General features: G+C 44.8%; 1 long non-coding RNA gene across 1 annotated transcript in view, besides 3 other annotated features; it reads left to right on the top strand.

Annotated features, from left to right (window-relative positions):
* Positions 1-17,956, top strand: part of LINC02885 (long intergenic non-protein coding RNA 2885) — a 241,252-nt gene that overhangs the window by 152,620 nt on the left and 70,676 nt on the right. The window lies entirely within an intron of this gene.
* Positions 4,398-5,121: an enhancer, noted in NCBI's record as "NANOG-H3K27ac hESC enhancer chr22:35236167-35236890 (GRCh37/hg19 assembly coordinates)". NCBI's record gives its function as "activates a minimal SCP1, AML or CMV promoter by ChIP-STARR-seq in primed H9 embryonic stem cells {active_cell/tissue: H9 hESC(primed)}" and the evidence as "EXISTENCE:reporter gene assay evidence [ECO:0000049][PMID:30033119]".
* Positions 8,181-8,681: an enhancer, noted in NCBI's record as "H3K27ac hESC enhancer chr22:35232607-35233107 (GRCh37/hg19 assembly coordinates)". NCBI's record gives its function as "activates a minimal SCP1, AML or CMV promoter by ChIP-STARR-seq in primed H9 embryonic stem cells {active_cell/tissue: H9 hESC(primed)}" and the evidence as "EXISTENCE:reporter gene assay evidence [ECO:0000049][PMID:30033119]".
* Positions 10,377-10,933: an enhancer, noted in NCBI's record as "NANOG-H3K27ac hESC enhancer chr22:35230355-35230911 (GRCh37/hg19 assembly coordinates)". NCBI's record gives its function as "activates a minimal SCP1, AML or CMV promoter by ChIP-STARR-seq in naive H9 embryonic stem cells {active_cell/tissue: H9 hESC(naive)}" and the evidence as "EXISTENCE:reporter gene assay evidence [ECO:0000049][PMID:30033119]".

The following is a 17,956-nucleotide window of genomic DNA, read 5'->3' as shown; positions in this document are numbered from 1 at the left end:
TATAAATAAAATAATTCTAAGTCCTAAAAAAAACTCATCCTGGTAAATTCTATTTTCATATTACAGAAAAAAAATGAGTATATTAGTACATTCTTACATGACTATAAAGAAATACCCAAGACTGGGTAATTTATAAAGGAAAGAGGTTTAATTGACTCACAGTTCTACATAGCTGGGGAGGCCTCAGGAAAATTACATTCAAGGAGGAAGGTGAAGGGGAAGCAAAACCCTTCTTCACATGGCAGCAGGAGAGAGATATCTTGTGAGAACTCACTCACCATCAGATCTCATGAGAACTCACTCATTACCATGAAAGCAGCATGGGGGAGACTGTCCCCATGATCCAATAATCTGTCATCATGTTCTTCCGTCAACACCTGAGGATTACAATTCAAGATGAGATTGGGGTGGGGACACAAGGCGTAACCATATCATTCTGCCCCAGCCCCTCTGAAATCTCATGCCCGTTTCACATTTCAAAACCAATCATGCCTTCCTAACAGCCTTCTAAAGTTGTAATTCATTCCAGTATTAACCCAAAACTTCAAGTCAAAAGTCTCATTTGCGACAAGGGAAGTCCCTTCTGCCTAGGAGCCTGTAAAATCAAAAGCAAGTTAGTTATTTCCAAGATACAATGTGGGTACAGGCATTGGATAAATGCTCACATTCCAGTGGGAGAAATTGGCCCAAACAAAGAAGAAACAGGCCCCATGCAAGTCTGAAATCCAGCAGGGCAATCATTAAATCTTAAAGCTCTGAAATAATCTCCTTTTACACCATATCTCACATCCAGGTCATGCTGATGCAAGAGGTGGGTTCCCACAGCCTTGGACAGCTCCACCCCTGTGGCTTTGCGGGGTTCATCTACACCCCTGATGCCCACCCTGACTGCTTTCATGGGCTGGCATTGAGTGTCTGCCACTTTTCCAGGGGCATGGTGCAAGCTGTCAGTGGATCTACCATCCTGAAGGAGGGTAGCCCTCTTCTCAAAGCTCCACTAGGTAGTGCCTCTGTGGGAACTCTGTGTGGGGGCTCCAACCCCATATTTTCTTTCCACACTGCCCTAGCAGAGGTTCTCCATGAAGGCTCTGCCCCTGCAGCACACCTCTGCCTTGACATTCAGGCATTTCCATACATCCTCTGAAATCTAGGCAGAAGTTCCCAAACCTCAATTCTTGTTTTTTGTATACCTGCAGGACCAACACCACATGGAAGCTGCCAAGGCTTGGGGCTTTTACTCTCTGAAGCAACAACCTGAGCTGTGTCTTCCTTTATAGCCAAACCTGGAGCAACTGGGATGTAGAGCACCAAGTCCTGAGGCTGCACACAGCAAGGGGCCCTGGACCCAGTCCCTGAAACCATTTTTCTCTCCTAGACCTCTGGGCCTGTGATGGTAGGGGCTGCCAGGAAGGTCTCTGACATGCCCTGGAGAGCATTGTCTTGGTGATTAACATTCGGCTCCTCATTACTTATGCAAATTTCTGCAGCTGGCTTGAATTTCTCCCCAGAAAATGGGTTTTTCTTTTCTATCAAATCATTGGGCTGTAAATTTCCCAAACTTTTGTGCTCTACTTTCCTTTTAAACGTAAGTTCCAATTTCAGACCATCTCTCTCAAGTTCAAAGTTCCACAAATCTCTAGGGCAGTGGCAAAATGCTGCCAGTTCTCTTTGCTAAAGTGTAGCAAGAATGACCTTTGCTCCAGTTCTTAAGAAGTTCCTCATCTCCATCTGAGACCACCTCAGCCTGGACTTCATTGTCCATATCACTATGAGCATTTTGGTCAAAACCATTCAACAAGGCTCTAGGAAGTTCCAAACTTTCCCAAATCCTTCTGTCTTCTGAGCCCTCCAAACTGTTCCAAACTCTGCCCATTACCCAGTTCCAAAGTTGCTTCCACATTTTCAGGTGCCCCACTTTTCAGCAGTGCCCCACTCTCTGTGGTACCAATTTATTGTATTAATCCATTCTTACACCGCTATAAAGAAATACCCAAGCCTGGGCAATTTATAAAGGAAGGAGGTTTAATTGACTCACAGTTCCACATGGCTGGAAACTTACAGGGAAACTGACAATCGTGGCAGAAGGGGAAGCAAGGACTTCTTCACATGGTGGCAAGAGGGAGAAGAGTGAGCAAAGGAAGAACTTGTCAAACACTTATAAAACTATCAGATCTCATGAGAACTCACTCACTATCCAGAGAACAGCATGGGTGAAACTGCCCCTAGGATCTAATCACCTACCACCAGGTTCCTCAACACTTGGGGATTACAATTCAAGATGAGATTTGGGTGGGGACGCAAAACCTAACCATATCAATGAGGCTCAGGATTTTTAAGTGATATCCCTGAGGCAGCCCCACTAACAGGTGCTTGAGTTGGGATTCAAACCCTCTCCAGCTGGCATCAGCTGGAAGAAGCCAGAAGAAGCCAGAGCTTCTTGAACTGCGCTGCACTGTCCCCTACTGGCTCCATTCTCTCATCATTGCTGATTAAGGATCACAGAGGTAAGAACTCTGCAAGATGTATTTGTACTTTTCTTAAGTTTTTTATTTTTTCTCCTGTTTTTCCTTTGGTGGTCAGTGGTAAGACTCCTAAAACAACAAAAAAAGAGCCTATGAGGTGCTTTTTGAGGCAGTCTGGAGGGAGACTGCAACCAGACCTTAGCATATCTATTCCCCTGGGGAAAGAGTGGGAACTTGCAGCTTTATGGGTGGAGGGAAAGTATTTGAGTCCCTGGAGACAAATGGGCACCAAGCCTGGGACTGAAAAGAGACCCGGGAGCATCTATATTTCTCAGCCACTTACCAAGGTGCTTTTTGGAATACAACTGCTCATAAGTGTTTGATTATAAAATAATAATGGTAATATTAATAATAACGGTGAATTTAATCTTTTCCCCAGTGAATCTATACTCATTCTGCTCATTTTCCTTGCTTTGTTTCTCTCCTCTGGGATTGCTCCCAGTTCAGACACTCTCTTTACTGACAGTAAAAATCTCAGGGTGGATGGAGTGCTGGGCAGGACCGAGACATTTACGATTATCCACTTATTGATTTGCTTCCCTAAAATTTGCTCATAGTCTTCCTAAACTTGCTGCAATCTGATGTCCTGATGACTCCCTTATTAGGTTCTGCTTTGGACAGAATTACTCAACCAAATTGGAATTCATGGTTATTATGAACCATTTCCAAGACATCACTCAAAAGCAAGTCAAGAGCTGATTCTTGCCTGCTTCTGCCTGTTAGATTTTGGATCAAGATTCGCATCCCATGTCATGCCCATTACTGTGAGGTTGTTGCTTTATTTATGACCTTTGCTTGGTGTGTTGCAGTCTATTTCTATTGTCGTATTTTCACCAACTCATACAAAATTCTTACTCTCACCTTGCACAGGGGTGGAAACTGCATGTCTGTGTTACTTTATTTAGCAGATGCCCGCACCAATTACAATTCCACTGGCTTTTCCTTCCCCCTTGGACAAGGTGGAGGAGAGTGAGTAAAACCAGGACTTTGTCTGTGTTTATTTTTAACCAAAGCCTCCTTAAAGCTTAAAAGATATCTCCTTTCTCAGGAAGCTGGCAGCTGTCTGGCCCAGGGACACAATTACAGCTTTGTCATTAAGACTAGAAGCCCTGAATTGATACCTCTTTCTCCTCTATTCAGTTTATGCTGATGCAAACTCATTTACCAGATCAGCATGGAGGAAAGCGTAACCTCTTTTGAGTGCTGAGAAGTGGGAGTTCAGGAATGCACTTATGTCAATAGGGAATCACTCTGCATTGCTTTCCCCAGAAGTTCCTGGATTTTTATCTTGCTTGTCACCTGCAAAAGAATCCTGACCCCTACAGACACTTAGTTGTGTGGATGTCAGTTAATGCGGTTTGCTTCAGGGCAATGAGAAGGCAGTTCTCTAGAGTGGAAATGACATAGGGATTGATAGTCCTAAATCCTACGTCAGCACCATCACTGGCTGGCTGTGTGGGCAAGCTACATTATATCTTGGAACTTTCATTTTCTCACCTATAAACTGGAAGTTAGAATATTCAATTCCCAGTGAAAAATATTCAGTATACTGCTTGAGCGTGTCCATTGCTATCTTAAGATGATTTAAAACAAAAAACTATAAACTTTTGTGTCAGGCCTCTGAGCCCAAGCTAAGCCATAGCATCCCCTGTGACCTGCATGTATACATCCAGATGGCCTGAAGTAACTGAAGAATCACAAAAGAAGTGATATTTAAATGGCCTGTTCCTGCCTTAACTGATGACATTCCACCACAAAAGAAGTGAAAATGGCCAGTCCTTGCCCTAACTGATGACATTACCTTGTGAAATTCCTTCTCCTGGCTCATCTTGGCTCAAAAAGCTCCCCCACTGAGCACCTTGTGACCCCCACCCCTGCCTGCCAGAGAACAACCCCCCTTTGACTGTAATTTTCCTTTACCTACCCAAATCTTATAAAATGGCCCCACCCTTCTCTCCCTTCGCTGACTCTTTTTGGACTCAGCCTGCCTGCACCCAGGTGATTAAAAAGCTTTATTGCTCACACAAAACCTGTTTAGTGGTCTTCACATGGACATGAGTGAAACTTTGGACTATGCTGAGGCACAGACATTTGGGGAACAGGCTTGGACCTTGGAGTTAGACAGACCTGGTCCAAGATCTGATTCTACCACTTATTAGCTTTATGACCTAAACAAATTGCAAAAATGTTGAGACTCAGTATCCTTACTTGTAAAAAGGGAAGAATTTTACGGAATACGTAACATATGTACAAAAACTATTAATGGTTTCCCGTTTGTTTGACCAGGACCCTGACCTTGACTACCACTTGTACAGGTCATTTAACATGGCTGATGTTTGGTCATTTGAGAAGGCGGTCATGTGGCTTGGTATTCTTAAGATAACCAGGCACCTGGAGATATTTTTTCCTTTTCTAAGTTGTTTATATGTGTGTGTGTCAGACACACATATATACAAATGAATATATACATTTATGCATATGTATGTGCGTGTGCATATATTTGTATGTGCTTTTCCTTTTTCTTCCAAAACTTTTTTCCCTTTTCTTCTTTCCATCTGTGATCCACTGTTGGCTATGTCACAGGTCTTCTAGGGACCTCAGGGTCAGCTCTACCATTTGTAACTATGAAGATTGCCATCCAATGCATTGAATAGGTGGGCTAAGTTTGGGATGTGTGTCTCTCCACTGCCCCTCCAAAGACTCTAAACACTCTGGAGATTTTGAAATCCCTACTTCTTGTATTATTACTTTCATGCACGTCCGTGTGAAGAGACCACCAAATAGGCTTTGTCTGAGCAACATGGCTGTTTATTTCACCTGGGTGCAGGCGGGCTGAGTCCGAAAAGAGAGTCAGTGAAGTGAGATGGGGTGGGGCTGTTTTATAAGATTTGGGTAGGTAAAAGAAAAAAATTACAGTCAAAAGGGGGTTGTTCTCTGGTGGGCAGGAGTGGGGGGGTCACAAGGTGCTCAGTAGGGGAGCTTTTGAGCCAGGATGAGCAAGGAGAAGGAATTTCACAAGATAATGTCATCAGTTAAGGCAGGAACAGGCCATTTTCACTTCTTTTGGGGTGGTATGTCATCAGTTAAGGCAGTAACCAGCCATCTGGATGTGTACGTGCAGGTCACAGGGGATATGATGGCTTAGCTTGGGCTCAGAGGCCTGACATTCCTGTCTTCTTATATTAAGAAAAATAAAATGAAATAGTAGTAAAGTGTTGGGATGGCGTAAGTTTTTGGGGGTGGTGTGGAGAGATAATGGGCGATGTTTCTCAGGGCTGCTTCGAGCGGGATTAGGGGCGGCATGGGAACCTAGAGTGGGAGAGATTAAGCTGAAGGAAGATTTTGTGGTAAAGGGTGATATTGTGGGGTTGTTAGAAGAAACATTTGTCATTTAGAATTATTGGTGATGGCCTAGATATGGTTTTATATGAATTGAAAAACTAAACGGAATAAGAGAAGGAGAAAAACAGGTATTAAAGGACTAAGAATTGGGAGGACCCAGGACATCTAATTAGAGAGTACCTAAGGAGATTCAGCATAGTCCTGCCAACAAAGATTATTATTTACTTTAAGAGTTAAGAGTGGCAGTTTGGGGATAGCACCAGGAGATATCAGCTGTGATGGCTTGGAGAAACAGTGTAAACCGGCGGTGTAAACAAGAGCAGGGCATGTATGAGTAGTTGAGAACGGTGAATAGGAGTATGACTAGACAGAAGATAGTAGGGATGACAAGTTTTTTTGGGCATAGTCCAAATTGGTCTGGTGTCTGGAAGGAGACTGGGGCCTAATAAAAAGGGGCTTCCATACAGGAGCTCAAATGGGCTGTACCCTGTAGCATTCCGAAGACAGGCCTGAATTCTGAGAAGGGCAAGTGGTAAAAGTATGCCCAGTCCTTTTTAAGTTGGTGGCTGAGCTTGGTGAGGTGTGTTTTTAAAAGACCATTAGTCCGTTCTACCTTTCCTGAAGACTGAGGACTGTAAGGGATATAAAGGTGTCACTGAATACCAAAAGCCTGAAAAAATGCTTGGCTGGTTTGACTAATAAAGGCTGGTCCATTATCAGACTGTATAGAGGTAGGAAGGCCAAACCGAGGAATTATGTCTGACAGAAGGGAAGAAATGACTGCGGTGGCCTTCTTAGACCCTGTGGGAAAGGCCTCTACCCATCCAGTGAAAGTGTCTACCCAGACTAAGAGGTATTTTAGTTTTCTGACTCAGGGCATGTGAGTAAAGTCAATTTGCCAGTCCTGGGCAGGGGCAAATCCCTGAGCTTGATATGTAGGGAAGGGAGGGGGCCTGAATAATCCCTGAGGAGTAGTAGAATAGCAGATGGAACACTGAGAAGTTATTTCCTTGAGGATAGATTTCCACGATGGAAAGGAAATGAGAGGTTCTAAGAGGTGGGCTGGTGGCTGGTACTATAGCATAGCCTGCCTTTGCTGGTATGTGGCGATTAGGCCTAGTGGAACTACTATCAATAAAACAAGTGTGTTCAGGGTGAGGAACAGGAAAGAAGGAAATATGGGGAAATGGGGTGAATGTCAGGTGGATCAGAGAGATACAGTCATAGGGGTTAGGTGTGGTATCCAGAATAATGTGGGAGGCTGGATTGAAGTCTGGGCCAGGAACAATGGTAATTGTGGGAGACTCAACAAAGAGTGAGTACAGCTGAAGGAGCCGGGGAGCAGACAGTATATGCATCAGGTGGGAGAAAGAAAATAGATTCTGGAAGTTATGAGAACTGTAGAGAGTGAGTTGAGCATAGTTTGTGATTTTTTGGGGCTCTAAAAGTATTAAAGCAGCAGCAGCTGCTGCACGCAGACGTGAGGGCTAGGCTAAAACAGTAAGGTCAAGTTGTTTGGACAGAAAGGCTGCAGGACGCAGTCCTGGCACTTGTGTAAGAATTTTGACCTTACTAACCATGCCTAGGAAGGAAAGGAGTTGTTGTTTTGTAGAAGGGATTGGGGTTTGGGAGATTAGCCAGACACGATCAGCAGGGAGAGCACGTGGGTTTTCATGAGAATTATGCCGAGATAGGTAACAGATGAGGAAGAAATTTGGGCTTGATTGAAGTAATGGGGGCTGTCTGTGAAGCCTTGTGGCAGTACAGCCCACGTAATTTGCTGAGCCTGATGGGTGTCAGGGTCAGTCCAAGTGAAAGCGAAGAGAGGCTGGGATGAAAGGTGCAAAGGAATAGTAAAGAAAGCATGTTTGAGATCCAGAACAGAGTAATGGGTTGTGGAGGGAGGTATTGAGGATAGGAGAGTATTTGGTTTTGGCAACACGGGGTGGATAGACAAAACAATTTGGTTGATAAGGCGCAGATCCTGAAGTAACCTGTAAGCCTTGTCTGGTTTTAGGACAGGTAAAATGGGGGAATTGTAAGGGCAGTTTATAGGCTTTAGAAGGCCATGCTGTAGCAGGCGAGTGATAATAGACTTTAATCCTTTTAAAGCGTGCTGTGGGACGGGATATTGGCATTCAGCGGGATAAGAGTGATTAGGTTTTAATGGGATGGTAAGGGGTGCATGATTGGTTGCTAAGGAGGGAGTAGAGGCGTCCTATACTTGTGGGTTAATGTGGGGAGATACAAGGGGAGGATGTGAAGGAGGCTTTGAACTGGGGGAAAAGGTGGCAATGAGGTGTGGCTGTAGCCCAGGAATAGTCAGGGAAGCAGCTAATTTAGTTAAAGTGTCTCAGCCTAATAAGGGAACTGGGCAGGTGCGGATAACTAAAAAGGAGTGCTTAAAAGAGTATTGTCTAAGTTGACACCAGAGTTGGGAAGTTTTAAGAGGTTTAGAAGCCTGGCCGTCAGTATCCCCAACAGTTATGGAGGCAAGGGAAACAGGCCCTTGAAAAGAAGGTAATATGGAGTGGGTAGCCTCCGTATTGATTAAGAAGGGGACAGACTTACCCTCCACTGTGAGAGTTACCTAGAGCATCTGTGATGGTCCTGTAGGCTTCCGAGGCGATCTGGCAGCATCAGTCTTCAGCTGCTAAGCTAAGAAGATCTGGAAAGGAGTCAGTCAGAGAGCCTTGGGCCAGAGTTCCAGGGGCTCTGGGAGTGGCTGCCAGGTGAGTTGAACAGTCCAATTTTCAGTGGGGTCCTGCACAGATGGGACACGGCTTACGAGGAATCCCGGGCTGTGGGCATTCCTTGGCCCGGTGGCCAGATTTCCAGCACTTGTAGCAAGCTCTTGGAGGAGGAAGTTCTGGAGGAACGCCTGGCTGCTGCGGTTCAGGCGTTTGGAAGTTCTTGTGTGCTGGAGATGTGGCTGGGGTTTGTCTCACAGTGGAGGCAAGGAATTGCAACTTTTTTCTATTATTGCACACCTTGAAGGTGAGGTTAATTAAGTCCTGTTGTGGGGTTTGAGGGCCGAATTTAATTTTTGGAGCTTTATATAAAGTTGGGAGCGTATTGGGTAATAAAATGTATATTGAGAATAAGACGGCCTTTTGATCTTGTAGGGTCTAGGGCTGTAAAGCGTCTCAGGGTTGCTGCCAAACAAGCCATGAACTGGGCTGGGTTTTTCGTATTTGATGAAAAAGAGCCTAAATGCTAACTGATTTGGGAGAGGTCGGATAAAGAAAAAGGAGCATTAACCTTGACTATGCCTTTAGCTCCAGCCACCTTTTTAAGAGGAAATTGCTGGGCAGGTGGGGGAGGGCTAGTCACGGAACAAAACTGTAAGCCGGACCAGGTGTGAGGAGGGGAGGTGATAAAAAGATTATAGGGTGGAGGAGCGGTGGCTGAGGAAGAATTGGGACCTAGCTCGGCCTGGCGAGGAGCAGCCTGGGGAGGAGGGGAGAGGTCAGATGGGCCTGTAGACAAGGAAGATTAGAAAGACTCAGCGACGCTTGGGGTTGGGACTGGGATGATTCGCATTGGGAACAGAGACTAGGGAGGGAACAATGTGTAAAAGAATGCCTGGCACCTCAGACCATTTGCCCATTTTTCGACAAAAATTATTTAGGTCTTCTGGGATGGAGAAATTGAAAGTACCGTTTTCTGGCCATTTAGAGCCATTGTCAAGTTTGTATTGGGGCCAAGCGGTGTTGCAGAAGAAAATACGATGCTTAGATTTTAGGTCAGGTGAGAGTTGAAGAGGTTTTAAGTTCTTAAGAACGCAGGCTAAGGGAGAAGAAGGAGGAATGGAGGGTGGAAGGTTGCCTATAGTGAAGGGGACAAGTTTAAAGAGAAGGGTAGAGACACAGAGAAGGGGGTAGGGAGCAGCCCTGGGCTGCAACGTGGGTGAGCAGCCAAAGCAGGGGTCCCCGCAATTGACTTGCCACCAAGGGAACGTGGGTGAATGATCAAGGCAGGAGTCCCCATGGAGATCAGAAACCAATGGAACATGTGTGAATCATCAGAGAGGTGTCCCCACAATGATTAAACACCAAGGGAAGGCTGCCTTCCAGAGTCCATGACCGGCGCCGGAGTTTTGGGCCCACAGATAAAATGTGTCTCCTTTGTCTCTACCAGAAAATGAAAGGAATTGAAATTAAGAGAAGGGAGAGATTGAAGTGTGGCGCCAAGATTGAAAGGAGAAAGAGGTTGAGGGATAGTGAGAGAGGTTGGAGAAGAGAGTAAAAAGAGGCCGCTTACTGGATTTGAAATTGGTGAGATGTTCCTTGGGCTGGTCGGTCTGAGGACCTGAGGTCGTAGGTGGATCTTTCTCACGGAGCAGAGAGCAGGAGGACAGGGGATTGATCTCCCAAGGGAGGTCTCCCAATTGAGTCATGGCATCAAATTTCATGCGCGTCCCTGTGAAGAGACCACCAAACAGGCTTTGTGTGAGCAACATGGCTGTTTATTTCACCTGGGTGCAGATGGGCTGAGTCCGAAAAGAGAGTCAGTGAAGGGAGATGGGGTGGGGCCGTTTTATAATATTTGGGTAGGTAAAGGAAAATTACAGTCAAATGGTGGTTGTTCTCTGGCAGGCAGGAGTGGGGGGCGTCACAAGGTGCTCAGTAGGGGAGCTTTTGAGCCAGGATGAGCCAGGAAAAGGAATTTCACAAGATAATGTCAACAGTTAAGGCAGGAACAGGCCATTTTCACTTCTTTTGGGGGTGGAATGTCATCAGTTAAGGCAGGAACCAGCCATCTGGATGTGTATGTGCAGGTCACAGGGGATATGATGGCTTAGCTTGAGCTCAGAGACCTGACAATTACCAAAGGGATGAAAATGTAACCTTTGCAATTCTGGAGCAAGGATGTGAGAGAGAAACTCAACTTCCTCTAATTTCTTGTTCTCCAAAAACCTCCTTATATGCATTTACCTGCTCCTGCCTCCCAGCTCTGCGTGAACCTGGCTCAGTCTTGTCACCACAATGCCTTCAGTTAAAACCAGGGGATAATATGGCCTCTTATTCCACATGAGAATGTTGGGCGGTACCAAATGGGGTGTTATATACAAGAGGCTTTCAGAGTCTGTCATGTGTTATGTGTGGAGCAAATGATGAATCCTTACCCCTTCCTTTATTGTTCTTGGCTTTCCAAGGACCTATGGAGTGAAAACAAAGACAGTTTTGTTGCGTGGCTCTTCTGCACTAAGCACTTTCTCACAACAGGGCCTCTCATAGCAGCTGTGTGAAGCAGGCATTGCTCTCCCAAGGTTATAGATGAAGAAACTGAAGCTCTGCTGGGCGACTTGCCTGAGATCACACAGTTCACACAGTTACGATGTGGCAGAGTTGATGTCTCCATTAGGTACTCTGAGCATGGGGCCTGTAGCACACAAGCTGTTTAAGAGCATTTAAAAATGTGAGACCTGAGAAACAATGACTAGCTCGAAAATAGCAAAAGAGCACTGTACAATCAAAAGCAATATTCATTTAGTTAAATATTTATGTCAAATGACATTAGGTCAACTTGCCCATGGCAACTTTACTCTTCAGTAGTTTAGGTCTATGTGAATTATATTCATGTGGAATATGGGTGCATATTACTGGTTTGTTAAGCTGTGAGATACAGGAGACAGGGCCTTCAAAAGCAAAGGAGCTGAAAGCCTGGGAAAAGACCAAAACAGCCTGAAGTGAAACTCAGTCCTCGAGCCTCATCCTTCCCCTCTGTTTCTGCCTCTTCTGGAGTTGAGCTAAGTGACTGCTCTGGGTTTTGTCTGGTCTGTGGAATGAGTAAAGGTGTTTTCAGGTTTCTTTCTAGGGCTCACAGGTGAGTTTGGACAGTTCTTCATCTGTCCACAAAGCAGTGACCATTTTCACTTTTTCTTTATCCATGTACGTCGAATGCCTGTTCATCAGGACACCTGTTATGCTAATTAAGTGCCCCTGTGTGCTTCTGCCATGAGAGACTGTGATTGTCAGTGGGACTCACTGGATTTCTGCCTCCTACTCACAAGAGGTTGTGGACCTCCAGCTCCCACTGTTGGGAGACCTAGTTGCTCTCTGTGTTCCATGCCGCTCCACATTGCAAACAAACCCAAGGACTCCTGCCTAATTTGCCCACCAGTGACAACCTCCCTGCTTTTCTGGCTAGTTTTATTGGCAGAAGTGTGCAATTTATTCCCCAGCCTGGGCACCGCTATCTGTCACAGTGTCTTGTACCCCAGCAGGGGACTGAATAGCTCACTGGCTCACGACAAAAATTAGGTAAATAGAGAGCCCTGAGTGGGTGAGGTGGAACATTTCTGCACACATGGAGCTGCACTGAGGATAGGAGCTCTTCAAACACTTGTGGGGCCCATGGACACGTGATGGTTGCACTGTCTTTCCTCACTGAGTGTGTTCTTCCCCCATATTGTTATAACTATGTCTACATCCCTTTCTGGAGCCTTCCATGTCACCACATTAGAATACACCATAGCTGGCCAGGTGCGGTGGCTCATGCCTGTAATCCCAGCACTTTGGGAGGCTGAGGTGGGCGTATCATGAGGTCAGGAGATTGAGACCATCCTGGCTAACACAGTGAAACCCAGTCTCTACTAAAAATACAAAAAAATTAGCCAGGCGTGGTAGTGGGCACCTGTAGTCCAGCTACTCAGGAGGCTGAGGCAGGAGAATGGCATGAACCCAGAGGCGGAGCTTGGAGTAAGCCGAGATCACACCACTGCACTCCAGCCTGGGTGACAGAGCAAGACTCTGTCTCAAAAAAAAAAAAAAAAAAAAAAAAAAAAAAAATACACCATAGCCTTCCTGCAGCAGAACCTGTGGAATTCCTTGGTGTGATCTTCAGTCTGCCATTATCCATGGATCCCATGGCAGACACATTTATCATAAGCTTTGACATTAGGAAGATCCATGTCCAATTACGCCTTCCTACCTAATACCTATGTGACTTCAGGCAATTTTACGTCTCTGGGTCTGTTTGTCCCTAGAATGAGGATAATGGAACCAATTGATGGGGATAGTGAGATAATTTATTCACTCATAAGACATGCTTTGAATGGCTACCATGTAGGAGTTAGTGTTTCTATTTTGCCTATGAGGAAATTAAGCCTTAGTTAGATGTTCTGTGTGGGACACGTGGCTAGTAAATGATGGAATCTATCTGGGCTGATTTGTCCATTAGCATTTACTCAGTACTGGGGACTCAATGGGATGCTGGGACGTGGTTTTTGCCCTGATAAAATCTATAGACTAAAGAGGGGCAGCTTCTGAACAAATAAGCTGAGTAAAACCTCTAATGTATGTAAGGAACCTGGTTCCATCCTGATTCAAAGTAGGTATTATTACTTTCTATCCCCTTCCTCTGCTCTGCCTGGATGTCACACTGTGCTTTTTCTTTTTCTTCTTTTTCTTTTTTTTTTTTTTGAGACGGAGTCTCGCTCTGTCACCCAGGCTGGAGTGCAGTGGCGTGATCTCTGCTCACTGCAAGCTCCGCCTCCTGGGTTCACACCATTCCCCTGCCTCAGCCACCGGAGTAGCTGGGACTACAGGCGCCTGCCACCATGCCCAGCTAATTTTTTGTATATTTAGTAGAGACGGGGTTTCACCGTGTTAGCCAGGATGGTCTCGATCTCACGACCTTGTGATCCACCCGCCTCGGCCTCCCAAAGTGCTGGGATTACGGGCATGAGCCACCGCGCCCGGCCCACTGTGCTTTTTCTTAATCTTTTGTGCTTTCGAATTTTGCTTATGCTATTATTCCTTCATCTTCAGAGGCTCTCTATTGCGGTTTGATTCATCCTTCAAGGCCTATTCAAATGTATGTCTGTGAAGTTGTTCCTAAATTGCTTGCTCAGGATGAAGCCATCTGGAAGGTTCTGTCACATAGTTAAAAGAGCGTGAGCTTTGGACTCAGGTGGGCCATATCAGATCTCAGCTCTACCAATCTGTGTGATCTTAGGCTTCTTGCTTGACCTCTCTGGCCTCAATTCCTTTTCATAAAATAGGAATAACAATGGTGGCCTCACAGGATTTTTGTGAATAATAAATGAAATAAGGCTTATTATGTGCATGGCATACGGATGGGGTACATAAATGATTTACTCATCCTTTTCCTTTCCCTCCCTCCCTCCCTCCCTCCCTCCCTTCCTTCCTTCCTTCCTTCCTTCCTTCCTTCCTTCCTTCCTTCCTTCCTTCCTTCCTTCCTTCCTTCCAGTGTGAATATAGCTCACTGCAGCCTCAAACTTCTGGGCTCAAGCGATCCTCCCACCTCAGCCTCCTGAGTAGCTGGGACTACAGGCAAGCACCACCATGCCCAGCTAATTTATTTTTCTTTTCTTTTTTTTAAAAAAGTTTTTTGTAGAGATGGCGTCTTGCCATGTTGCCCATGCTGGTCTCAAAGTCCTGACCTCAAGCAATACTCCTACCTCAGCCTCCCAAAGTGTTGGGATTACAGGCATAAGCCACAACACCTGTCCCTTTTCTTTAACATATATTTATTTTATTCTTTGATTTAGAATGACATCACAACATCCCATTTCTACTTCTAACTAGGGTCAGGGTGATCAAACATCGATATACCATGAAGTATGAAAGTCAGAGGGTTTCCTTGGTAGCACATAAAGCTACTGTTTTGTTTTTGTTTTTGTTTCTATAGTAGGAGGGCAGATAAAGGTGAGAATTGAGCCTAGGGCTTAATTATTAGAAAAACAGAGCCCCAGGGAAGAATGTCTTCTCAGTCCAGGCAAGGCTGTTTTACCAAAGTCAGGCCCTGACTGAGAAAGAGTGAGACACCAAGACTGGAATGGGAAAGTCTTCAGGATATCACACATATCCTCCATATGAAAAAATCTTGATTCTAAGCAGAACAGATGAGCAAAAAGTGGCATGTATGTTGGAGGCTATGTCAAGACAAATGCACCCTAGAGGTTGGGATTACCCCAACTAAGTTTCAGGGCATTCCTACATCAGGGAACTCTTTAGGAACTTAATGATCTGGTGCGTGAAGGACACCTCTTCAAAATAAAGGTTAAACTGTTGCATTTTGTCTTTCCCACTATTAGGGAGCAAGCATAATGCCTGATAGGCTTTTTTTTTTTTTTTTTTTTTTTGGCTTCTGGAGGCAATATGCTTTACTCCTGGGAACACTGTTTTAGTGAAACCCTGCCAGTCTTGTGTTAGTCCACAACAGTCTTGTGTTAGCATTTACCACTGAAGAGCCATGGCACAACCAGGTAGACAGAATGACATGGCCAGGAGATACTGGCCAGGTGGTCATTGTCCTTTCAATATTGGCACAGTGAACACAGTGATGGAGAAGCCATGATGGCTGGGATGGAGGCTACAAACAGGCTCCCACTTTAATATCAAGGTCGATCCAGCCCTTGTCATGACTGAATGTTCACTCTATCAGCAATAGAGGTCAATGCTGACTACCTGATATGGCACCAGTTTTGGAGGAGATCAACTAGCAACTTTCTGGCCAGTTGATTACATTGGACTCCTTTCACCTGTGAAAGGCTGTGATTCACTTTGACCAGAATTTACACTTGTCTACATTTGCCTTTCCAGCCTGCATGACCTCAGCTAGCACTGCCATTTGAGAACTTGCAGAGTGTTCTACCTATTTTTAGGAGATTCCTGTAAGCAACCCGCTTTATGGCAATGGAAGTGTAGCAGTGGTAGCATGACCATGGGATACGCTGACCATGTGACATGGTAGACTGCCCCAAATTTGCCCATCAGTTAGGTTGCTGACATGGCGTTTTCAAATAACCACTGATGAAATGGCTTGGAGATGATATACAAAGATGGAACATAATCCTTCAGCATGCACTGTATATCCTAAACCATAGATCATTGTATTGTGTTGCATCCCCAGGGAGTTGAAGACATGGGTCTGAGAACTAAAGGGTGAAAGTAGAAGTGACCCCATTTATCATCATACCCAGTTACCTACTTGGCGGTTTTGTGTCTCCCATTCCCATAACTTTGGGGTATGTGGGTTTAGAGGTTCTGTCAAAGAGCAGGAGCATTTCCACCAAGGCACAGAGAAAGAGTCCCGTTAAATTTTAAACTTTGGCTGTCACTTGGTCATTTCAGGCTCCTCATGACAGGAAGCTGACCGACAGGTAAAGACATCACCTTCCTGGTGAGAATATACTTTGCTGATCAGCAGGAAGTAGGTCTACTTTTTCACCATGGAGGCAGAGAAGGACATACTTGGTAGCAGGTGATCCACTGGGGCATCTGTTTGTACTCCCTTGTTCAATTTTGATGGCAAATGGATGAATGAACCGGCCATGACCTGAGGACACAGGCCACTAGACCAGAAGAGGGGCTGGCCAGAGGTGAGGGCAGTCTTCAATGAGTAGTAGATAAAGGAAATGATAAGTGTCAATTGCAGCAAAAGCTCCAGATTCAACAGTAGGTTCTATAGTTTCTCCCACTAACCTTCTTGTGATGGTTAATTGTATGTGTCAACTTGACCAGGACGTGGAGTGCTGAGACATTTGGTTAAACATGATTCTGTATGTGTCTGTGAGGACATTTCTGGACAAGACTAGCATCTGAATTGGTAGGCTGATTGCCTTCCTTGATGTAGATGGGCATCACCCAATCAATTGAAGACATGAGTAGAAGAAAAAGACTAAGAAGGAGCTCTGACTGCCTGATGGCTGAGCTCAGCCAGGAAAATTGGCCTTTTCCTACCTTTGGACTTGGACTGAAACATCAGCTCTTCTTAGGACTAGAGCTTGATGGCTTTCAGGCTGGGGCTACACATTGGCTTTCTTTGGGTCTCCAGCCAATTGCAGATCTTGGGACTTCTTAGCCACCATGATTATGTGAGCAAATTCTTTATAATAAATCTCTCATTTTCTGTCTCTCTCTCTCTCTGTATACACACACACATATAGACACACACGCACACGCTTATATAAGTATACATATACATGTATACCTATATAAAAAATATATATGCTTTTAAACAACAGATCTACAACTGTATCTCTATAACTTATCTAGAACCATGATAAATAGCAATTTAATGTTGTAGATTGAATGTTATTGTCACCCCAAAATTCAAATGTTGAACACAATGTATGATATTTGGAGATGGGGCCTTTGAGAGGTAATTAGAGTTAGATGAGGTCATAAGAGGCCCTAGTCTGATGAGATCAGTATCCTCATAAGAAGAGACACCGGAGAGCTTTCTTGAGTGCTCTCACTCTCTCTCTCTCTCTTTCTGCCTATTTGTACACAAAGAAAAGGTAATGTGAGCACACAATGAGATGATAGCCACACAAAAGCCAAGAGAAGAGTCCTCAGAATAAAACCTGCCTTGCCAGCACCTTGATGTTGGAGGTCTCACCCTCCAGAAAAGCAAGAAACAAATTTCTGTCATTTAAGCCACCCAATCTGTAATATTTTATTATAGCAGCCTGAGCATATTAACACATTTCTTAAGTTTCTCCAGAAAAGAGAACCACCAGAACCATGCAGAAGCTGTTTCCAGAACTTGTTTTACTAAGCACCTGTATCTGACCAGAGCAAGGGTGGACTGTAGTGGATACTGTGGTGTGCTGCCCAGGGCCTTTTTCGAGACTGAGTCCATCAATTAGCCAGCTGCCAAGAATGTTGAAAGAGCTCAGCTGAGTTTCTCTTCAAAAATTGCCCTCACCAGAAGTTCATGTCCTCACTTAAGTTTATGTCCTTTCCCCAGGGGCGTCCTTTATCCAATGATCATCCCAGGACCAGAGCTCCCTGTGGGAAGGGCTGTCTCTGTTGTAACTGTTCCAGCTCAGCCTCTCCCTCAGACCCATCCTACCTCCTTGGTCCCCCACGGTTGATCCCAGGGGCACCCTCCAGTATGCTTTCTGCGTATAGACTTCCATCTCAGAGTTTGTTTACTGAGAAACCGGGCTTAAGATACAAATATTACAGATATTATGTTTTCTTTAAATGAAATTTATAGATAATATACCTACCTCAACACACCAAAAAAACTTTTTAAAATGTTCCCTAACTATAATAAAGAAATAAAAGTAAAGCCATATTTAATAAAATCATAATGCATTTAGTATTTAATAA

This window comes from Homo sapiens, chromosome 22 (assembly GCF_000001405.40).
Source record: "Homo sapiens chromosome 22, GRCh38.p14 Primary Assembly".
Taxonomy (NCBI): Eukaryota; Metazoa; Chordata; class Mammalia; order Primates; family Hominidae; genus Homo; species Homo sapiens.
Note: the sequence above shows the minus strand (reverse complement) of the source record. Positions and strands in the feature narration are given on the sequence as shown.